This window comes from Homo sapiens, chromosome 9, assembly GCF_000001405.40.
Source record: "Homo sapiens chromosome 9, GRCh38.p14 Primary Assembly".
NCBI classification, from domain to species: domain Eukaryota; kingdom Metazoa; phylum Chordata; class Mammalia; order Primates; family Hominidae; genus Homo; species Homo sapiens.
The window spans coordinates 87,913,921-87,937,572 of NC_000009.12; the positions used below are offsets into that span (position 1 = coordinate 87,913,921).

At 49.4% G+C, this 23,652-nt stretch overlaps 1 protein-coding gene and 1 long non-coding RNA gene across 3 annotated transcripts in view; one reads left to right on the forward strand and one right to left on the reverse strand.

Moving 5' to 3' along the window:
- LOC497256 (uncharacterized) overlaps nt 1-23,652 on the reverse strand; it is a 71,588-nt gene that overhangs the window by 46,248 nt on the left and 1,688 nt on the right. The window contains exons 2-3 of the long non-coding RNA NR_149022.1: nt 20,083-20,136; nt 19,209-19,264 (exon numbers count right to left, since the gene is read on the reverse strand). This is a non-coding gene — a long non-coding RNA (uncharacterized LOC497256). The remainder of the gene's footprint in view (nt 1-19,208; nt 19,265-20,082; nt 20,137-23,652) is intronic.
- SPATA31C1 (SPATA31 subfamily C member 1) lies at nt 16-9,737 on the forward strand. Of its 2 annotated transcripts, none has more exons than XM_011518702.1 (4): nt 16-790; nt 5,335-5,428; nt 5,996-6,056; nt 6,332-9,737. In XM_011518702.1, exons 1-4 carry the CDS (start codon nt 560-562, stop codon nt 9,552-9,554), a joined length of 3,609 nt encoding a protein of 1,202 aa, XP_011517004.1. In that variant the 5' UTR covers nt 16-559; the 3' UTR covers nt 9,555-9,737. The 2 variants fall into 2 exon arrangements, with proteins under 2 accessions (XP_011517004.1, NP_001138596.1); NM_001145124.1 differs by lacking the exon at nt 16-790 and adding an exon at nt 4,042-4,259.

The following is a 23,652-nucleotide window of genomic DNA, read 5'->3' on the forward strand; positions in this document are numbered from 1 at the left end:
CTGGGCGACAGAGAGGGACTCCGTCTCAAAAAAATAAAAAAAATAAAAAAAAAGGAAAGTGAGATAGAAATAATTTTTTAAAACTTACTATTCAAAATTTGCAAAACTAAATAAGAGTAAAAGAAATTTACATTTTGTCCCTGGATTCACAGAAGACAAAAACATTGTGTGGGAAAGCTGGAGTTGAGGACGAACGAGATTCTGAAAATAAAAATCCCTGGTACATAAGCCAAAATTTCAGAGTCAACTACAGATTTTCAAAGGCTATGAAATAGGTAACCTCAAGCCACCGACTCCAATAGATAAAAGGAACCAGGTAATATCTGTGTTCCAGGGAGAAAGAATAGAAAACTGGCTGAGTTCTATCACTGACAAAACTTAGTGCGAAGGAGGGATCTGGAAGGCGGGAGGGTGAAGGGATCCCCGGCTTGGAGGGTGGGGAGGGGCTGTGCTTCGGCCTCCCCCTCCTACTGCCCCTCCCCAACAAAGGAGCCCTTTGTGATGTGAAGCCCCAGCTCTGTGATGCGGGCCTGGGCCCCAGTCCCTAGTCTCCACGAGGATGCCCAGAGCTCAGTTGCTAGAAAGCAATGCGCCTATTCACATGGAGAATCTTCCCTTTCCTCTAAAATTACTTAGTGCCTCATCACTAAACACCCCCAGCTCCACACCATGGGTGTTGGATATCTTCCTCACCTTGGTGTTTGCCCTGGGGCTCTTCTTCCTATTACTCCCCTACTTCTCTTACCTCCGTTGTGACAACCCACCCTCACCATCGCCTAGGAAGAGAAAGGTAAGGAGCTCTCAGTCCAGACCCACAGAGCTTGATTCTCTTCTTTCTTTTTATTATTAGTTCCACCTTTCCAAATCCAGTGGAGACTTCTGCGATGGGAAGTCTCAGGAGAGACCAGAACAGCATGCTTCCAGGGAGAGGCAGGGCAGCCAGGGGTTGGTAGGGGTAGATCGTGTACTGGGATTTCCATCCCAAGCTCTCAGTCCATCTGTGGGGGAGCCAGGAGGCATGAAGGCAAAATCAAACCCGTGGGCTCAGCGGCCAGGACCGGTCATGAGACGGGGGAGGTCTCTGGTCATGAGACGGGAGGTCTCTGTCCGAGGCCAGGCCCTGAGCCCTGGCTCATCAGTCCCTTCCTGGGGCAGGTGGCTCGGGACCCAGCCTCTTCTGTGTGGGGTGATATGGGGCCTGTGCTGGGCCCCCGAGGGCCTCCCACCGGGGCCTGGCATCTCCTCTGGTCTCCTGGCAAGCAGAATGCTACCTGACAGCTCAGTGGTGCCTGCGGGCCTGAGCCTGGGTGTTCCTGGAGCAGAGGAACAGGGACTGATGGCGTCCATGGTGGACCTCATATTGAAAATCCCTGTGTGTGTGCGTGTGTGTTTGTGTGTTATTTTTATTTATTTTGTTTTTTGTGCAGGCTGCAGTGAAATGGAGCGATACCGGCTCAGTGCCACCTTTGCTTCCAGAGTTCAAGCTATTCTCCTGTCTTAGCGTACTGAGTAGCTGGGGATTACAGGCGCCCGCCACCACGCCTGGCTAATTTTCGTATTTTTAGTAGAGATGGGGTTTCACCATGGCCAGGCTGGTCTCAAACTCTTGACTTTAGGTGATCCACCTGCCTCGGCCTCCCAAAGTGCTGGGATTACAGGCATGAGCCACCGCGCCCGGCTGATCCTTTTTTTTTTAATAAAGACATGAGGTTAGATTGAGGTTATTGTTTTGTCTATGGTATCTAACTGCTCCAGAACCACTGTACTATTGAACTGATATTGCACTTTTTTCAAAAGTCAGTTGGTTGTACTTGTATGGAACTATTTCTGAGTTCTCAATTCTGTTTTATTGAACTGTCTGTCCCCCTGCCAATACCACACTGTCTTGATTTCTGTAGCTATGTAAAAAGTTAAAAAATTGGGGAGAATAATTCCTCCCACTTTATTCTTCTATTTCAGACTTGTTTTGTTGAGCTGTATTATAGAAAAAACTATTCGTGACACCTGTTAAAAAATAGTAAGACAAACGTTATTCAGAGGGATTATTGCAATAGATATAGAGATTACTGCAATAGGGTCTTGCAGTAATCTCCAGTTTCCATATATTCAGGTTTCCCTCTGAATAGAAATTTTATAGCCACAGAGCAGGGTGGAGGGGTGGTAGTGTATGGAAAATTACTAATAGGAGGGTATCTGGCTAAACTGACCTCACAGAATTCTTGCTGAAGCCATGCCAGAGTGATCAGATATCACCTGGGGATGGTAGACAATAAGAAAACCAATTAGATACCAATGGTGGTCAGATATGAAGATGGAGGAAGACTCCATCTCAAAAAAAAAAAAAAAGATCACATATCTCAATGTAAAAATATGAAATTTAATGAGAAATTCTTCAGGTCCTAGGACTTGATGAATAATTATTAGACATGACACCAGAAAAGCACAATCAATTCTAAGAATTTATTAATTGGATGTTATCAAAATTTAAAACTTTTGCCCTGCATAAGAGCCTGTTAATAAAAAGACAGGGTAAAAACTGGAAGAAAAGTGCAAACCACACCTGATAAACCATATCTGACAAGGAGCTCATATCTAGAATATTGTTTAAAGTTTTCAAAAGTCAACAACGACAACAAGAAAAAACAAGCCAATTAGAAAATGGGCTAAAGGCATGAACCGATATTTCACTGAACAGGATAGATTGATGGAAAATGAGAAAATAAAAAAACTTTTATCAGAGGAATGCCAGTCCTTTTAAATTATCAAGCCCAGAGAGACATTAAAATAAGACAGCAGGCCCGGCACGGTGGCTCACGCCTGTAATCCCAGCACTTTGGGAGGCCAAGGCGGGCGGATCACAAGGTCAGGAGAACAAGACCATCCTGGCTAACACGGTGAAACCCAGTCTCTACCAAAAATACAAAAAATTAGCCGGGCGTGGTAGCACATGCCTGTAGTCCCAGCTACTCGGGAGGCTGAGGCAGGAGAATGGCATGAACCCAGGACGCACAGGTTGCAGTGAGCCAAGAGCGTGCCACTGCACTCCAGCCTGGGCAACAGAGTGAGACTCCATCTCAAAAAGAAAGGAAAACTGCAGGTCCTGCACATGTACCCCGGAACTTAAAATAAATACATAAGTACATAAATAGAATTTTAAAAAAATCTTAATTGTATGTGGGTAGGTCCCTTTGATTCAAAGTGAGATAGAAGGATGGGCGCAGTGGCTCATGCCTGTAATCCCAGCACTTTGGGAGGCAGAGGCGGGCAGATCACAAGGTCCGGAGATCGAGGCCATCCTGGCTAACACGGTGAAACCCCGTCTCTACTAAAAATACAAAAAGAAATTAGCAGGGCGTGGTGGTGGTGGGCGCCTGTAGTCCCAGCTACTCAGGAGGCTGAGACAGGAGAATGGCTGGAACCCGGGAGGCGGAGCTTGCAGTGAGCCAAGATCACGCCACTGCACTCCAGCCTGGGCGACAGAGAGGGACTCCGTCTCAAAAAAATAAAAAAAATAAAAAAAAAGGAAAGTGAGATAGAAATAATTTTTTAAAACTTACTATTCAAAATTTGCAAAACTAAATAAGAGTAAAAGAAATTTACATTTTGTCCCTGGATTCACAGAAGACAAAAACATTGTGTGGGAAAGCTGGAGTTGAGGACGAACGAGATTCTGAAAATAAAAATCCCTGGTACATAAGCCAAAATTTCAGAGTCAACTACAGATTTTCAAAGGCTATGAAATAGGTAACCTCAAGCCACCGACTCCAATAGATAAAAGGAACCAGGTAATATCTGTGTTCCAGGGAGAAAGAATAGAAAACTGGCTGAGTTCTATCACTGACAAAACTTAGTGCGAAGGAGGGATCTGGAAGGCGGGAGGGTGAAGGGATCCCCGGCTTGGAGGGTGGGGAGGGGCTGTGCTTCGGCCTCCCCCTCCTACTGCCCCTCCCCAACAAAGGAGCCCTTTGTGATGTGAAGCCCCAGCTCTGTGATGCGGGCCTGGGCCCCAGTCCCTAGTCTCCACGAGGATGCCCAGAGCTCAGTTGCTAGAAAGCAATGCGCCTATTCACATGGAGAATCTTCCCTTTCCTCTAAAATTACTTAGTGCCTCATCACTAAACACCCCCAGCTCCACACCATGGGTGTTGGATATCTTCCTCACCTTGGTGTTTGCCCTGGGGCTCTTCTTCCTATTACTCCCCTACTTCTCTTACCTCCGTTGTGACAACCCACCCTCACCATCGCCTAGGAAGAGAAAGGTAAGGAGCTCTCAGTCCAGACCCACAGAGCTTGATTCTCTTCTTTCTTTTTATTATTAGTTCCACCTTTCCAAATCCAGTGGAGACTTCTGCGATGGGAAGTCTCAGGAGAGACCAGAACAGCATGCTTCCAGGGAGAGGCAGGGCAGCCAGGGGTTGGTAGGGGTAGATCGTGTACTGGGATTTCCATCCCAAGCTCTCAGTCCATCTGTGGGGGAGCCAGGAGGCATGAAGGCAAAATCAAACCCGTGGGCTCAGCGGCCAGGACCGGTCATGAGACGGGGGAGGTCTCTGGTCATGAGACGGGAGGTCTCTGTCCGAGGCCAGGCCCTGAGCCCTGGCTCATCAGTCCCTTCCTGGGGCAGGTGGCTCGGGACCCAGCCTCTTCTGTGTGGGGTGATATGGGGCCTGTGCTGGGCCCCCGAGGGCCTCCCACCGGGGCCTGGCATCTCCTCTGGTCTCCTGGCAAGCAGAATGCTACCTGACAGCTCAGTGGTGCCTGCGGGCCTGAGCCTGGGTGTTCCTGGAGCAGAGGAACAGGGACTGATGGCGTCCATGGTGGACCTCATATTGAAAATCCCTGTGTGTGTGCGTGTGTGTTTGTGTGTTATTTTTATTTATTTTGTTTTTTGTGCAGGCTGCAGTGAAATGAAGCGATACCGGCTCAGTGCCACCTTTGCTTCCAGAGTTCAAGCTATTCTCCTGTCTTAGCGTCCTGAGTAGCTGGGGATTACAGGCGCCCGCCACCACGCCTGGCTAATTTTCGTATTTTTAGTAGAGATGGGGTTTCACCATGGCCAGGCTGGTCTCAAACTCTTGACCTCAGGTGATCCACCTGCCTCGGCCTCCCAAAGTGCTTGGATTATAGGCGTGAGCCACCGCACCCGACCCCCTCTTCCTGTTTTTCTAAGAAAAGCAGTTTATCATCCATTTAAACATGAGTGGGAGGGGAGAAAGCACACAGAGCTCCCTGAGCAAGACAGACAGAGCCATGCGGTTCATGAGTGCAGCGTGCTGCGGCTGGGGGCAGAGAGGGAGAGCCGGTCCTAGCTCCTCGCCATTTCTTGTCTCCCAGCGTCATCTTGTCTCCCAGCGTCATCTTGTCTCCCAGTGTCCAACAGGGCGGAGGGGGAGGCCCAGAGGCAGGATGAAAAACCACAGTCTGAGAGGTAAGGCTCTGCCAGGGCACACTAGAGTTAATTTGATCTCATCTGTCCGGGAGGGAACTGACTCTGAAGAAGTCAGTTGAAAAAACCTGAGGTGGGGGCTCCTAGGAAGGAAATCAGAACCCTGGGTCCTTCTCAGATTCTGTGCCGCCGGAATGAAGCCATGGTGGGCCAGGGACTGAGCGTTACCCAGCAGGGGGCAGTGTGTGTGTCCTGGGGAGACCAATGCCTGCCTGGATGCGGAGGGGGGTGAGGGGCCTCCCGCTCCCTGGGAACAGCTGTTCAACTCTGCTAAGGCTGATTCCTCTCTGAGACCACCCCAGTCCTTTCTCCTCACAGGGCAGTTGTGAGGACCGTGGGGGTGGAGGGTCTGTGTGTGGAAGCCCTTTGTGAATGACAAAGCCCTGTCCTCTATGCCTTGCTATTACCGTCGGGGCCATGTGGCTTTGGACACAGATGGGTGGGTTCCAGGGTCTAATTCCCCATGGTCTTCCCTAAAGAAACATACACTCAGCCTCCTGTGAGATCCCAAGCCCCTCCCTCACTGCCCTAACCCGGTCTGATTTCCAGCTTGTAGAGAGTGCCCGAGAGGCCTGGAGGAGACTTGGGACCTGCTTTCACAACTGCAGAGGTGAGGCACTTCCCCTTCCCTGCATCCTTCCTACCAGGGCTGGGACGTGACCCCAGGGCCACAGGCAGCCTGGAGCTGACCTGGGATGGGGAGACCAGGGGGACAGAGGATGGGAGTAAAGCCCTGGGGCGAGGGGTAGCAGGAGAATTGGGTGGTCAGGGTGTGGCGTGGTGGAGAGGGTGTGGCGTGGTGGAGGGGCTGTGGCCCAAGCGCCCACTCTGCCCTCCGAACCCATCTGGCTCCTGGCTGCAGCTTGTGCCTCCTGTCTCCTGCAGCCTCCTGGGGCCACACCTTGAAAAAGGTGACTTTGGTCAGCTCTCTGGTCCAGACCCGCCAGGTGAGGTGGGCAAAAGAACACCTGATGGAGCCTCCCGGTCCTCTCATGAGCCTATGGAAGATGCTGCTCCCATTGTCTCCCCGTTAGCTTCCCCGGATCCTCGAACCAAGCATCCTCAGGATCTGGCCTCCACCCCACCACCAGGCCCAATGACCACCTCAGTCTCCTCCCTAAGTGCCTCCCAGCCACCAGAACCTTCCCTTCTCCTAGAACGCCCCTCACCCGAGCCACCTGCACTTTTCCCTCACCCACCACACACCCCTGATCCTCTGGCCTGCTCTCCACCTCCTCCGAAAGGCTTCACTCCTCCTCCCCTGCGGGACTCCACTCTGTTAACACCATCTCACTGTGACTCAGTGGCACTTCCACTGGACACCGTCCCTCAAAGCTTGTCTCCACGTGAGGATTTGGCGGCTTCTGTCCCAGCCATCTCAGGCCTTGGCGGCTCAAACAGTCAAGTTTCTGCCCTCTCCTGGTCGCAGGAGACTACCAAAACCTGGTGCATCTTCAACTCGTCAGTCCAGCAAGATCATCTTTCCCGCCAAAGGGACACCACAATGTCCCCACTGCTTTTCCAGGCCCAGCCCCTGTCCCATCTGGGGCCTGAGTCCCAACCCTTTATTTCATCCACACCCCAATTCCGGCCCACACCTATGGCTCAGGCCGAGGCTCAGGCCCATCTTCAATCCTCTTTCCCAGTCCTATCTCCTGCTTTTCTATCCCCGATGAAGAACACTGGAGTAGCTTGCCCTGCGTCGCAGAATAAAGTGCAAGCTCTCTCCTTACCTGAAACTCAGCACCCTGAAAGGCCTTTGTTGAGGAAACAACTAGAAGGTGGGTTGGCTTTACCCTCTAGGGTCCAAAAATCTCAGGACGTCTTTAGTGTCTCCACTCCTAACCTTCCCCAGGAAAGACTGACATCCATTCTGCCTGAGAACTTTCCAGTCAGTCCTGAACTCTGGAGACAACTGGAGCAATACATGGGGCAACGTGGAAGGATCCAAGAGTCTCTGGATCTGATGCAGCTTCAGGATGAATTGCCAGGGACAAGTCAGGCCAAGGGCAAACCCAGGCCCTGGCAGTCCTCCACGTCCACAGGTGAAAGCAGCAAGGAGGCACAGACGGTGAAGTTCCAGCTAGAGAGGGACCCATGCCCACATCTGGGGCAAATTCTGGGTGAGACCCCACAAAATCTATCCAGGGGCATGGAAAGCTTCCCAGGGAAGGTTCTGGGGGCGACCTCTGAGGAGTCAGAAAGGAACCTGAGGAAGCCCTTGAGGAGTGACTCAGGAAGTGATTTATTAAGACGCACAGAGAGGAATCATATAGAAAACATCCTGAAAGCCCACATGGGCAGAAAGTTGGGCCAGACCAACGAGGGCTTGATCCCCGTGAGTGTGCGTCGATCCTGGCTTGCTGTCAACCAGGCTTTTCCCGTATCCAACACCCACGTGAAAACCAGCAATCTAGCAGCCCCGAAAAGTAGGAAAGCCTGTGTAAACACAGCCCAGGTGCTTTCCTTCCTTGAGCTGTGTACTCAGCAGGTGCTGGAAGCCCATATTGTGAGGTTTTGGGCCAAACACAGGTGGGGTCTACCCCTCAGGGTCCTCAAGCCCATTCAGTGCTTTCAACTGGAAAAGGTTTCATCCTTGTCCCTTATACAGCTTGCTGGTCCCTCCTCAGACACCTGCGAATCTGGGGCTGGCTCAAAAGTTGAGGTGGCCACGCTCCTTGGAGAGCCACCAATGGCAAGTCTGAGAAAGCAAGTGCTGACCAAACCATCTGTTCACATGCCAGAGAGGCTTCAGGCCTCCTCACCTGCATGTAAGCAGTTCCAGAGGGCCCCGCGAGGGATCCCATCTTCAAATGATCATGGGTCCTTGAAGGCTCCTACAGCTGGACAGGAGGGCAGGTGGCCATCTAAGCCCCTCACATACAGCCTCAAAGGCAGCACCCAGCAGAGCAGGAGCTTAGGAGCCCAATCTTCAAGGGCTGGAGAGACCAGGGAGGCAGTGCCACAACCCACAGTCCCCTTGGGAACCTGTATGAGAGCAAACCTCCAAGCCACAAGTGAGGATGTGCGTGGTTTCAAGGCTCCAGGCGCCAGCAAAAGCTCTCTACTCCCTAGAATGTCTGTCTCCCAAGACCCAAGAAAGCTGTGTCTCATGGAGGAGGCTGTTAGTGAATTTGAGCCTGGAATGGCCACGAAGTCAGAGACCCAGCCTCAAGTTTCTGCCGCTGTTGTGCTCCTTCCAGATGGGCAAGCATCTGTTGTGCCCCATGCTTCAGAGAATTTGGCTTCTCAAGTGCCCCAGGGCCATCTCCAGAGCACGCCTACTGGGAACATGCAGGCTTCCCAGGAGCTATGTGACCTCATGTCAGCCAGAAGGAGTAACATGGGGCACAAGGAGCCCAGGAACCCAAACTGTCAAGGCTCATGCAAGAGCCAAAGCCCAATGTTTCCCCCTACTCACAAGAGGGAGAACTCTAGGAAGCCCAACTTAGAAAAACATGAAGAAATGTTTCAAGGATTGAGGACTCCTCAACTTACCCCAGGCAGAAAAACAGAAGACACCCGTCAGAATGAAGGCGTCCAGCTACTGCCATCAAAGAAACAGCCTCCTTCAATAAGCCACTTTGGAGAAAACATCAAGCAATTTTTTGAGACGATTTTTTCAAAGAAAGAAAGGAAGCCAGCACCAGTCACTGCTGAGAGCCAAAAAACAGTAAAAAACAGATCATGCGTGTACGGCAGCAGTGCTGAAGCTGAGAGGCTCATGACAGCAGTTGGACAGATACCGGAGGAGAACATGTCACTTTGCCATGCGCGCCATGCCTCGAAGGTAAATCAGCAAAGACAGCAGTTTCAAGCCCCAGTCTGTGGGTTTCCCTGCAACCACAGACACCCGTTCTACTCAGACCACAGCAGAATGCTGAGCTATGCAGCCAGCAGTCAACAAGCCACTCTCAAGAACCAGAGTCGTCCCAACAGAGACAGACAAATCAGAGATCAGCAGCCCTTGAAAAGTGTCCGGTGCAACAATGAGCAATGGGGCCTGCGACATCCCCAACTCTTGCTCCCCAAGAAAGCTGTATCCCCAGTCAGTCCCCCTCAGCACCGGCCGAAGACACCCAGTGCCTCCAGCCACCATCACCACTGACCAAGGCACTGTCTTTTTCAGGGAGGTATCTAATTTGGTCAGTCACAAATTCCTTTTTAGCCTTCCCTAGAGAAAAACAAGTCACCAAGAAAAAATTCACTCTATGTAGAGGAAAAGTATTTTCTCTCATGTTAGTACACGCAGAACATTTAATATTCCACAATATATACGGTTTTTTATTCATAAGAGGGTGATGGCTTTTATTTGTGCTGTGCTTGGTGTGGGCTTGGTTTCTAGAAGCGACAGGACATGGAGGGAGGCTGACAGCGGTGCTGTAAGCCCACCTTCATCCTGAGTTCCTTCACTGAACCTTATGTTTCCGTAATACCATCTTTACACAAACAACAAAAAATTCTAAAAACAAGATGAGAAAAACCTATGAAGATCCCACTCTGAAATAAGGTTCAACCCATCTTTCCACTACTTACTGTCCACCTCAAACTTTATGCAACTATAGGGAGAAGGTTTGCAGAGATGTCACAGGGCTGAACATCTCCATGCAGGCTCCAGGAAGTGCCACAGCCAAATAACTTCATGTGTCACAAAATAGTGGAAGTTTGGGTGGGAGAGTGCTGGACCCTGAGTTCAGAAGTGGGAGAAGTCTTGACCCTGGGTATCCTGGTGAAGAATAGATAATGTCTGCCCTGGGAAGCCCCTTCTCTCCCTGACAAAGGCTGGGATGGAGATGGGCCCTCTTAGCTCAGCCAACATGTGAAGCACAGAGTCCCCATCCCACTGCCTCTCCCTTTCTCGCACTCTGGAGTGGTGGTGGGGATAGACCTTCCAGCTCTGTGCATGTGTAGGTGGGGGGCGGGGGGCTGGGGGGACGGCCTTCATGGAGGCTGCTGAGGGCGGCGAACTCCCCTGCCCCAGATGAGTGAATGACCCTGCTAGGAAGTCAGAGCCTGCAAGGGCTGTGGGGGTATCAGGTGGAGTGGGCTCCAGGTACACCCTCAGTGCACTGGGCAGGTCTCAGGCCAGGCTCTCTGGACCCCACCTGGGTGATGTGGTCACTCCCTGGGGGACTGCTGTCAGGCCCCGGCCACCCACCCTGGGCAGCACCGTCCCATCGCAGGACTGGACTTTCTGAGTCCTGAGACAGGACGGTGCTGCCCAGGCCTGACAGACTGGGAGGAACTGTTAAGTCCTCCATCTCTAGACCAGCCTCCCACACAGCACGGACAGTCTCTTACCTTTACCTTCATGAAGAATGATCCTTCTCACTCTAAGGCAACCAAGGCAGAGCTGAGGACCCGTGCCAGGCTGGGAGTCAGTCCCCTCCCTAAATGGGCCTGAGGGAAGCACCATCCCTGTCCCAATCCACCACAAATTTCTGCCCAGGAGACACATAGGGAAGGGAGGACGGGGCCTCCCTGCTGGCTGACACTGGAAACGCGGGACCTGGAAGAAGAGGGAGCGCAGGGCTGGCAGGGGATGCTCCAGGCCCATGGAGAGCTCGGGCTGCACCATGGGGCTGCCCCTCCTGGGCTGGAGGCTGTGCCCTCTGCAGGATTTGAGAAAGTCCAGTCCTGAGATGGGACAGCACTGCCCAGGGTGGGTGGCTGGGGCCCGACGGAAGTCCCTCAGGGAGCGACCGCCATCACTCGACCAGGGTGCAGGGAGCCTGGGCTGAGACCTGCCCAGTGCACTGAGGGTGCAACTGGAGACCACCCCACCTGACGCCCCCACAGCACTGACAGGATCTGACCTCCCAGCATGTACCTGCCTCTCCCTGCACCCCAGCTGCCCACCCTGCCTGTTCCCTGGCTTCCTCCATCCCGTGCAGCCCATAGACTGTGACCATCTCACCGGCTACTCTGGCCCTTCCTTTGCCTTTGTCCTGTCAAAATCTCTGAGCAAGATCTCCCAGGTCCATCCAAACACCTGCTTTGTCCACTTTTGACTGGGCTTTTGGGCACCACTGGCCCATCTGAGCTGTCCATAGGGCCTGTGATAACGTGCATTGCACCTGGCATCTCCCAGCAGTGCTCAGCAGCCCCCGCACCAGGTCCCTGCTGACCAGATCCCGCACATCAGGTCCTCCCTGACCACACCCTCACTGATTAGAACCCCATGACCATGCCCCACTAACCAGGCCCTGCTGCCAGGCCCACAGTGACCAGGACCCTACTGACTGACCACGACCTTACACACCAGGGCCTCACTGACCAGGTCCTTACTGACAAGGCCTCATTGATCAGGTTCCACCGATCATGACCCCATTGCCTGGCCCCACAGATGAGGTCCTACTGACTAAGCCTCCGGGGAACAGACTGCCACTGACCAGGCCCCTATTAAGCAGGCCCAAGGTGACCAGATACTTCTGACTATGACCCTAGTGAGTAGGCCCCACTGAATGGGCACCCACTGCTCAGATCCCTGCTGACCAGGTCACCCACAGACCAGTGCTACAAAAGCCACCACTGACCACGCTCTCTCTGAACAGGCCCCCACTGATTAGGTTCCACTGACCAGGCTGCCCTGATCAGGGCCCCACTGACAAGGGCCTCACTGATGAGGACATGGCCACCAGGCCCTGCTGACTAGGTCCCATGTGACCAGGCCTCCACTGAATAGCACCCCTTGACCTGGTCACCAGTGACCCAGCTCATGCTGACAAGGCCACCACTAAGCCCCAGCTGACCAGGTCTCCACTGACAAAGTCCTGCAGCCTAGTTTTACACTGACCAGACACCAAACAAGTGGCTGCCACTAGGTCCCCACTCACCAAGACCCCACTACTAGATCCCCCTAATGAGACCCTCTCTAAGCAGACCCCTGCTGACCACGCCCCCAATAAATAGGCCTCACTGACCAAGTCCCAACTGACTAGGTCCACTGACGAGGCCCACACTGATCAGGGCCCTCCTAACTATACCAGAAGACCAAGCGACAATGAGATATTTCATATGGCAGGAGTAGGAGCAAGACAGAGAGAGGAAGGAGGTGCTACATCCTGTTATACAACCAGATCTCAAGAGAACCCACTATCAGGAGATCAGCATCAAGAAGATTAACCATTGGTGAAGGAACCACCGCCCATACCACCACCCACTGTTGCCAGGCAGAAGCCTCCTGCAGAGGCAGAGCCTCTTGGGAAACTTCCACTATGGCAGTGCAGAAGGAAAATATGGGCTTGGAGCCCCCACACAGGAGGCCACCATCCTCCAGACCCCAGATTCATAAGCCCACCAACAGCTCGCACCCTCAGTATGGAAAGGCTACAGGCACTCCACACCAGCCCAGCCCATGGGAGCAGCCATGGGGGCTGAAGCCTGCAAAGCCACAGGTTCACTGTCCTAGTAGAGGTTTTCCACAAACCTCTGCCTCTACAGCAGACTACTCCCTCTTCCTACTACCCCCCACCCTCCCACCACCCTACTGCCAACCTACTCTCCACCCTACCCACCCCTTTTCCTTCCAACCCCAACCCCCTCTTGCCATGATTAAATCACCTCCCACCAGGTCCCACCTCCAACATTAAGAAGTACAATTCACATGAGTTTTGTAAATAAACACAGCCAAACCATATTATTCTGACCCTGATACCCCAGAATCTCATGTCCTTCTCACAGAGCAAAATACATTCATGCCTTTTCAAAAGTTTCCTTCCAAATGTCTTAACTCATTCCAGCATTAACTCAAAAGTAAAAAGTTCAACATCTCATCTGAGACAAGTCTACAGTCCCTTTTGCCTATGAGTCCCTGAATTTAAAAGGATGTTCTTTTCTTTCAGGGTACAATGATGGTAAAGGCACTGGATAAGCTTTCTCAATCGAAAGGGAAGAAATTTCCCAGGAAAAAAACACAAATAGGACCACAGGCCCAATGCAAGTCCAAAACCCAGGAGGCCAGTATCCATTCAATCTCACAGCTCCAAAATCATGAAGAAAACTCACTATCATAAGCACAGCAATAAGGAGGTGGTGTTTAATCATTTGTGAAGGATCCACCCCCGACCACCACTTTTCACCCCTCACCCCCACCATAATCCCCTCATTCTCCCTACCCCCACCTTCCAACCCCCACTCTCCACCATAATTAAATCACCCTCCACCAGGCCCCACCTTTAACTTTATTATTCTGTCCCTGGCTCCCAAATCTCATGTCCTTCTCACATTGCAAAATACAATGATGCCTTCTCTACAGCCCCTCCAAATCTTATATCATTCCAGCATTTATACAAATGTCCAAAGCTTAAAGTCTCATCTGACACAAGGCTACAGTCCCTTAGGTGCATGAGCCTCTGAACAATAAAGCAAGTTAACTACTTCCAAGGTACAATGCTTGTGCAGGCAATGTTACGTAAGCATTCTCAGCCGAAAGGAAGAATTCTGCCAGAAAGAACAAAACACAGGACTTACAGGCCCCATGAAACTCCAAACCCAGAAGGCTAGTCATTCAATCCTACAGTTCCGAAATCATCCTTTCTGAAACCTTGTCCCACATCCAGGGCACAGGGACGTGAGGGCTGGGCTCTGAAGGCCCTGGGCTGCTCTGCACCTTTGGTTTTGCAGGGTTTATGCCCCACGGCTGCACTCATGGGCTGGGCGGGTGTTGAGTGCCTGTAGTTTTTCCCGACTGATGGTACAAGCTATCGGTCGGTCTACGAATCTGGGGTCTGCATGATGGTGGCCTCCAGTGTGGGGGCTCCAACCCCATATTTTCCTTCTGCACTGCCCTAGTAGAGGTTTCTTATGAGGCTCTGCCTTTTTGGGATGCTTTTTTCTGGTCACCCAGGCATTTCCATACATCTTCCAAAGTCTACAGAGAGGCTTCCAAGCCTCTAGTCTCAAGATCCGTCCACCCAGTGGCTTACCAATATGAGGAAGTTACCAAGGCTTCTAGCCTGCACTCTCTGAAGCAGTGACCCAAGCTGCATCTGTGCATTTTCAGCCATGGCTGGAGCTGGAGCTGCAGGGATGTAGGCAGCAGTGCCCTGAGGCTGCACATAGAGGGGGGTCATGGGACTGGCCCAGGAAACCATTCTTCTCTCCTAGGCCCCAGGGCCTGTGACAGGAAGGGCTGCTGCAAAGTTCTATGAAATGCCTTCAAGGCCTCTTCCCTATTGTCTTGGCTATTAGCACTGGGCTCCTTTTTATGCAAATTTCTGAAGCCTTCCTGAATTTTCTCCCTGAAAATCAGATTTTCTTTTTGACCACTTGGCCAGGCTGCAAATTTTCCAAACTTCTGAGTTCTGTTTCTTATTTAATGTAAGAGTTGGGACTTGTTTAATGGAAGTCCCATCCAGAGGTCATTTCCTCAGTCACACATCAGAGCACAGGCTGTTCAATGCAGACAGGACACCTCTTGAGCTTTGCTTCCTAGAAGTTCATTCCACCAAATATGTACTAAGTCATCACCCTCAAGTTTAAAGTTTCACAGATCTCCAGGGCAGGGTCACCGTGCCACCACATTCCTTGCTACAGCAAAACAAAGGTAACCTTGGCTTCTGTTCCCAATAAGTTCCTCATTTTTATCTGAGACCTTTTAAGTCTGGCTTTCACTGACCATTTTCCTGTCAGCCTTCTGATCGCAAGTATTTAACAATTCTCTACAAAGATCCAAACTTTTCCTCATTTTCCTGTCTTCAAAGCCCTTCAAACTCTCCCAACCTCTGTCTGCTACCCCCTTCTGAACCTGCTTCTACTTTATCACCTATCTTTGTCACAGCCTGGCAATGTGGTAAAGGAAGGCAAGTCCATTTTCAGGGGGAAAATTCAAGGCTTCAGATACTTGAATGAAAAGAAGCTGAGTGCTGATTGCCAAGACAACAGGGAAAAGGCCTTGAAGACATTTCATACATCCACTTTCCAGTACTAATTTTCTCTATGATCATAAAGAATCTCATGATTCTGCAGGCTGTAAGGAAACATAGTGGCTTCTGAATCTGGGAGGACTCAGGAAGCCACCCAGTCATATCAGAATGTCAAGGGGCAATGAGATGATTCATGTGGCAGGAGTAGGAGCAAGACAGAGAGAGGAAAGAGGTGCCACACCCTATTATACAACCAGATCTCATGGGAACTCACTATCACAAGCTCAGCATCAAAAAGATGGTGCTTAACCATTGATGAAGGATTCGCCCCCCACCCCCAACTCCCACTGTTTCCAGGCAGAAGCCTGATGCAGAGGCAGAGCCTCTGGGAAAACCTCTCCTAGGGAAGTGCGGAAGGAAAATATGGGCTTGGAGCTCCCACACAGGATACCATCATCCTCCAGACCCCAGTCATAGACCCACCAACAGCTCCCACCCTCTGCATGGAAAAGCTACAGGCACTCAACACCAGCCCAGCCATGAGAGCAGCAAAGCCACAGGTGCACTGCCCTAGTAGAGGTTTTCCATGAGCCTCTACCTGTGCAGCAGGCTACTCCCCCTTCCTACTACCCACCACCCTCCCACCACCCTACAGCCAGCGTACTCCTCCCCACCCCTTTCTCCTTACACCTCCACCCACCTCCCATCCATGATTAAATCACCTCCCACCAGGCTTCACAACCAAAATTCGGGATTACAATTCCACATGAGTTTTTCTAGCAAAACACAGCCAAACCATATTATTCAGACCTTGACCCTTCCGAATCTCATGTCCTTCTCACAGGGTAAAACACAATCATGCCTTTTCAAAAGTTTCCAAAAGCCTTAACTCATTCCAGCATCAACTCAACTATAAGAAGTTCAAAGTCTCATCCGAGACAAGGCTACAGTATCTTCTACCTATGAGTCCCTGAAGTTAAAATGGAGTTCTTTTCTTTCAAGGTACAATGATGGTACAGGCATTGGGTAAGCTTTCTTAATCCAAAGGGAAGAAATTTCCCAGAAAAATAACACAAATGGGACCACAGGCCCAATGCACATCCAAAACCCAGCAGACCAGTATTCAATCTCACAGCTACGAAATTATGACGAGAACTATCAGAAGGACAGCATTAAGGAGATGGTGTTTAATTACTTGTGAAGGATCTACCCCCACCCCTGCCTTTCACCCCCAACCCCACCATAATTCCCCCCAATTCTCCCCACCACCCCCACCTTCCAACCTCCACTCTCCACCATGATTAAATCACCTTCCACCAGCCCCCACCACCTTTAACATTTCCCGTTACAATTTCACAGCAGTGGGACACAGAGCCAAGTCATATTATTCTGTCCCTGCCCATGCAAATCTCATATGTCTTTCTCACGTTGCAAAATACAATGATGACTTCCCTACAGTCCCCCAAATCTTAACTCATTCCAGCAAATGTCCAAAGCCCAAAGTTTTATCTGGGACAAGGATACAGTCCCTTCTGCCCATGAGCCTCTGAATTATAAAGCAAGTTAACTACTTCCAAGGTACAATGATTGTACAGGCAATGGGTAAGCATTCCCAGCCAATAGAAGAAAAATTGCCTGAAAGAAAAACAAACACCGATGGGACTCATAGGATACATGAACATCCAAAACCCAGCAGGCCAGTCATTCAATCCTACAGCTCTAAAATCATCCTTTTGGAATCCTTGTCCCCAGCCATCTGGGGCTGTAGGGCAGCTGGCCACAAGCTGCCCTGGCTTCTTCCATGTTGTGCTCATCACTACCCACCAAGGGAGGTCAGATGCAGGCATCAAGCAGGGCGGTTGTCTCTGGACCTGCGTCTTGGTTATCATGGAGCCAAACTGGGCCTGGTGACAGGGCCATGATGGTGTTGTTCTGGTGGTCCTGTGGGTGTCCAGAGGAGATGCAGAATGGAATTGCTACCAGGATGAATCAGATGACTGTCAACACAGAACAGGCACCTGGTGAGTGCTCAGGGTTTACCCTCAGTAGCTGCCCAGAGGCCAAAACCATCCACCTGATAGCGACTGTCCCTAAGCCAGGAAGAAGAGAAGAGAGCAGGTTCCACTCACGTAAGTCTGATCAGTGAGATGTGCTGAGGTGTGCCTCTCACCTAGAAAATGGCCCTTCATGCAGAGCCACTCACAGACACTGCTGTGTGTCTCTAACTGCTCCACAACACATAGGCAATGGGGGCTCAGCAACAGTGACATCGTGGGGTGACACAACACACCACAACGGGAGCCTGCTTGGGTCAAGAGGGCCCAGAATCAGTGTCCTCTATCCCCTGAACTCACATGTGTGCATGCAATGTGTTTATGCATGTATGTGTCTATGTGCATATGGGTGTATTTGTCTTGCTTCTCTGGCCTGGCCTAGCTGCTCCACTCACAGGTGCACCCAGGTCCTCATCACTATCACCACCAGGGCCCAGGGCCAGGATTAGAGAATCCACAGGTGCTCCCCAATCTCTGCCCTCCCCACCGAGTGTGGTCCTGGGGATGCAGACAGAGGAGGGGCGCCGAGCAGAGTAGAGCGGGCTGGTACCCTCTCTAGGTGGAACCCAGGTTGTGTGTAAAGTTGGAGGTCTGCCAAGCAGTGCTGAATTCAACACATCTTCTCACATTCTCTTTCCAGCAACGCTCCAGGGTGCCCTGACTCACCTTCCTACACATGGAAGCAAGGAGGCTCCACAAACCCCCTGCCTAAGGTCACACAGCGGCCAACTGGCCAGGTTCCTACTGACCAGGCGCCCCCCAAACCAGATCCCCACTGACAAGGCCCCTAATGACCACTCCTCCATTGACCAGGTCCCACTGGCCAAGTCCCCACTGGCCATGTCTCCATAACCAGGAAGAGGCCCCTATTAATAGGCCTCACGGACCAGACCCCACTGACTGGGTTCCCACTGATAAGACCACAATTTACCAGGTTGCCCCTCACCTCACCCCCACTGAACAATTCTCCATGGATCAGTCCCCAGCTGACCGAGCCCCCTCTGACCAGGCCCTCACTGACCAGGCTCCAAGCCACTAAGGCCCCACACTGACCAGACCCCTAATATACTGAATAGACCCCACCGGCCAGTTTTTTATTGTTTGTGTTCCAACCGATCAGACCCCACTAATAAGGCCACCACTGACCAGGTCCCCACTGACTAGGCTTCCAATGACTAGGTCACCAGGTCCCCATTGGTGAGGCCTTCACTGAGGAGGCCACCCTCTAGCCAGGTCCCTGCTGATCTGGTCCCAACTGACCAGGTCCTGATGGCTAGGTCATCTCTAACCATGATCCACTGACGAGGCCCCTGTGCAGTGGTGCTCAACGTCTCATTACAATGCCCCAGTCAGCCCACAGACCCTCCCTCCCTGCATGTGTGCCCAGAGATCAGGCCCGGGGGGGTTTCTTGGGCCCCAAGGCCTCTCCTCCAAGACACAGGAAGGACAGTCAGCCTCAGGCTCCAGGTACCCAGCTTCACACTCGCCCCCCAAGGCCCTCTGGGCCCATCTCAAAGGAGACAATGAGGTGGCCTGGCACTGCCTGGACATGCCATCTACCCTATTCCTGAGTGTCAGAGTGGGAGAAGGGAGGGACATTTGGCAGACGAGACACCCTGTGCTGCTGGGTCTCCCACTGCCCTTCCCACAGAGCCCCGATCTAGAGACACAGCACAGAGGCTGCAGACAAATTAATCCAGAACCCTTGAGGCTGAGCCAGGGACCACATGAGGACTGTCCCCAGACAGCCAGAAGGCCCTTTGCTAGTTTCTTGGTACCTCAATGGATGCAGCAACAGTTCTTCTGTTGGGGACTAGCGAGTGTGTGCTGGGGAGGGCTCACCTGTGCTTCCTCAGTGGTTCCAACTCTGCTTCTAAGAAAAATTACTCATTCTAGGGCTGGAACAGAGAAAATACAAGATTAGTTTGGAACATCTTGTGCCAGAAAGTAAAAAAGTGCTGACAAGAGTAACAGAGACAAATCAAAAAGACATAAAGTCAGACATAAAGAAATGTCTACCACTGGCCTCATCTTGGGGAATTGGAGCACCAGAATCATGAGCTTTCCCTTCTCCTTTATTTATTGGTTTTATTTCTCCATGTAGAACAAACAAGAGAATACGAAAATAATCATCTGGCAACCATCACAGTAATACTTGTTCAAAGACAAGACATCAATGAAATACCGAATCTAGTGGGTTTTTAGGAGTAACCAGATATTTACAGAGCCTCAAAGTATCTCCACACAAAATACGGTTGAACTACAAAAAGAAATTCATAACATTAGTATGGACAAACCTGGCAGGTACTCTTTAAGTCTCCTACTATATATAGTAATAAAACCTGTAAAATGCAAAGAAGGCTTCGATGACCTTTACTAAAGTATCAAGGATGACTTGGTTGTTTGGCTTTTTAAACAGCTGACATTTGGGCAATTTGAGTATGTCAAACTCCATAATACTGGTGTTCATTTGCAAGATCCACTTAAAACTTAAGGGGGCTAAAAAACATCATTTAAAATACCATAATAAATGTTCATCATACATATGATATGAAAATATTCTACTTTAGTAAAGATTGTGATGTTATATATTTTATGAGAAGCAATTAAAATTTCATGTCAATAGCCCAGTAATAAAGTTTTATGATCTTTTAAATCACACAACTTTTCCTTAAGATTTTATGGTTAAATATTCTCTTTATTAGATGTGGCTTACCAGTGGATTCTAGAGAAGAAAGCAGATGGGAGCAAGTGCCCAACACAGCAAAAGCTGGAAAGAAAAAGAAAGGATTATGTTCTTTACCCAAAACATTTCAGTTAACTGTGAGTTTAAAATCTAAAGAGTTGAGAACGTTATCAGAGTTAAAAAGAATGAGAAATATGTACGTACGATTACAATACAAAATTACTATTAAATAATTAACGCATGGCATTAATTCTAATTGTGGTTAAATATCACAGCTTTTCCATTCTTTATTCATGTACTCAACACCCACGTGCTAAGGCACTAGAATCAGTACTGGAATTACAATATGAAGATGGCATGGTCCACCTCTCAACAGTCATATGCTATAACCTAAAACAACAGACAGGCAGGCAATGTCCGTATAGAGTCATAGACACTATGACAGGTATAAAGCAGGGCACTACTGGAAAACACAGAAGGGACATCTACCCCACTTTTGTGTCAATATCATGGGCTTTGTGGAGCAGATAAATAGGTTGATACCTGAAGGACAAGGAAAAGCTTGCCAGATAGAGAGACGAGGCGAAGGCAAAGAGCCTGAGGTGAGGAAGAGCCCTACAGAGTTCTACTCCGCCCACTTTGGTGCTAGAGCAAAGGGCAGAGTGCGGTAAGCGGCGAGAGATAAGGCTGAGTAACCTGACAACAATTACATTGACACAGGTGTTTTTATTTCATGGTGAAAATTTTGGAACTTTTCCTGAGAACAGATGTAAGCCAATGGCACAGTAAATGACAGGAGATTTAAAATGTCACCTGTCAAGCGACTGCTTATGAAGGGTTTTTCCTCAACTAAGTACTTCTAAATGAGTCTGAGGTCTGTTGGTCTTCAATCTCTACCAAAACCCAGAGAACTTGATGATGACTTTGTTTTCAGAGAATCCTTTCAACGTGCTGGCTGACAGTTCCATGAGGATGGCAAAAGTGAAGAAATTGTAGAGCCAGTAAAAAAGAGATGGATACACTTCTTGGGAATTTTTTAAGCTATCGGACATGATGAATTAATGGTACATGAGTATACTCTTCACTGTGAAAGTTTTTGTTTTCACATCTTTCACTAGATGTGTGTAAGGAAAAGATACTGAACGTAGTATCTACTAACCCAATAATGAAAAGGAATGCCATTTGCTATTTACACTTTATTACTAAAATAAACCTAAATTTAATTAATAAATTTTGGAAACATACTTTTCTTTGTTTCTGTAATTATTTGTTCTACACAGTCCGGCTCCATCTAAAATACGTTAAAAAAATAATAATGTTTAAGTTAAACAAGAGACATTATCATGAGAATAATATATCACTTACAAAATGTGGCCTTTAGTATTTTTAGGGACTAGACGTAACATGAAGTTTGCTTAAAAAGAAAAGTAATCACATAAATAAAGTAAAATTCCTGCTTATTTTAAGTTTAGATAATAGAGGATGTATCTGTGCAATGCTGTTTAGAGTAATCTGACAAAAATAGATAATATTGGTCTATTGGATATACATAATTTTAGAAAGGTGGTGTTTTATTAGTACAAAGGTTAAATAATGGCCGGGCACGGTGGCTCATGCCTGTAATCCTAGCACTTTGGGAGGCCAAAGCGGGCAGATCATGAGGTCAAGAGATCAAGACCATCCTGGCCAACATGGTGAAACCTCGACTCTACTAAAAATACAAAAATTAGCTGGGTGTGGTGGTGCATGTCTGTAGTCCCAGCCACTCGGGAGGCTGAGGCAGGAAAATTGCTTGAACCCAGGAGGCGGAGGTTGCAGTGAGCTGAGCTCGTGCCACTGCACTCCAGCCTAGTGACAGAGCGAGACTCCATCTCCAAAAAAAGAAGAAAAGTTAAACAATTAAAGTCATATTTTGCAATGAATGCATTGCTTTGAAATTCTTAGCAAAACTCTGTCCTTTGTAAAAGTTTAATCCATTTTTTTACTTCAGTAATTTTTTTCTTAAAAAGAAATTTATATTTACTTACAGAAAATTTCTTATAGTAAATTTTTCTTTTTTTTTTTCTAGTTTGTATTCTAAATTAAAGTGGTACCTGTGTAAGTTTCTTCCAAAGGTATATCGAGGGATGCTGAGGTTTGGAGTACAATTGAACCCATCACACAGGTAGTGAGCATAGGACCCAAGAAGTAGTTTTTCAACCCTGGCCCACTCTGTCCCTCCCCGTTCTTATTTCCCAGTGTCTATTGTTCCTATGTTTATGCCAATGTGCACCTAATGTGTAGCTCCCACATATGAGTGAAAACGAGACACTTGGTTTCTCTTTCTGCGTTAGTTTGCTTAGGATAGTGGATTCCAGTTGTATCCATGTTGCTGCGAAGGAAATGATTTTGTTCTTTTCATGGCTGCACAGTATTCCATGGTATATATATGGAATTTTCCAATCTACCTTGGATTTTCAATCTATCTTTGGTGCACCGGGATTGACTCCATGTCTTTGCTATTATGAATAGTGCTGCAATGAACATACATGTGCATGCATCTTTTTGTTACAATGAGTTATTTTCCTTGAGGTATACCCCTAGTATAGTAATGGGGTTGCTGTGTGTGGGATTACATGTGCCTGCCACCACTCCTGGCTAATTTCTGTAGTTTTAGTAGAGACAGGGTTTCATCATGTGGGCCAGGCTGGTCTCAAACTCCTGACCTCAGGTGATCTGCCTGCCTTGGCCTCCCAAAATGCTGGGATTACAAGCATGAGCCACCACACCTGGCCAAGCACAAAGCTTTTAACAGAAAAATGGAAATGAACCTTTCAGTGTTTTGTTTATTTAATTCATAAAATGCACTTATTTTGGATTCTATTAAATAATAAATATCTACATGTCATTAAGTGTTTGGTTGTCATTCACTTGTGATTATGGGTGGAAAGAGTTAAGATGATGCAAAGAAACTTTAGAAGTGGTATAGGCTGGGCATGGAGGCTCACCCCTGTAATCCCAGCACTTTGGGAGGCTGAGGCGGGGGGATAACAAGGTCAGGAGATTGAGACCAGCCTGGCAAATATGGTGAAATCCCATCTCTAATAAAAATACAAAAATTAGCCAGGTGTGGTGGTGGGCACCTGTAGTCCCAGCTACTCAAGAGGCTGAGGCAGGAGAATCACTTGAACCCAGGAGGCGGAGGTTGCAGTGAGCCGAGATCGTGCCACTGTACTCTAGCCTAGGCAACAGAGCGAGACTGTCTCAAAAAAAAAAAAAAAAAAGTGATGTGAACCACAGACAAACTACAATCAAGTAGAGTAAGACCCTAGGTGTACCACCACCACTGCCACCGAGGCCTTCGTTACAGCACCCACAGGTTCCTCCCCACCCCAGAACGGGATGGGTCCTGCAGTGCTCCTACTCCCCCTTCCCGGCCCCCAGACTTCCTACTGCTACCACCACTAGCGCCGATGCCAATACAACCACCGTCGCCCTCAATGTACCAGCCCACCCTACCAGGCTCCTACCACCTGGCCCCCGTGGGTGTCCTCCTACCGCTCTGATCGAGCTGCAGTCTCCATCGCCACCACCAACCACATGAGGCAAGCTGCAGAACCA

Coding starts and splice junctions, on each gene's coding strand:
- SPATA31C1 (XM_011518702.1), top strand. CDS start 560: ATGCCCAGAGCTCAGTTGCTAGAAAGCAATGCGCCTATTCACATGGAG. Junction 791..5,334: donor CATCGCCTAGGAAGAGAAAG/GTAAGGAGCTCT, acceptor CTTGTCTCCCAG/CGTCATCTTGTCTCCCAGCG. Junction 5,429..5,995: donor GAAAAACCACAGTCTGAGAG/GTAAGGCTCTGC, acceptor TCTGATTTCCAG/CTTGTAGAGAGTGCCCGAGA.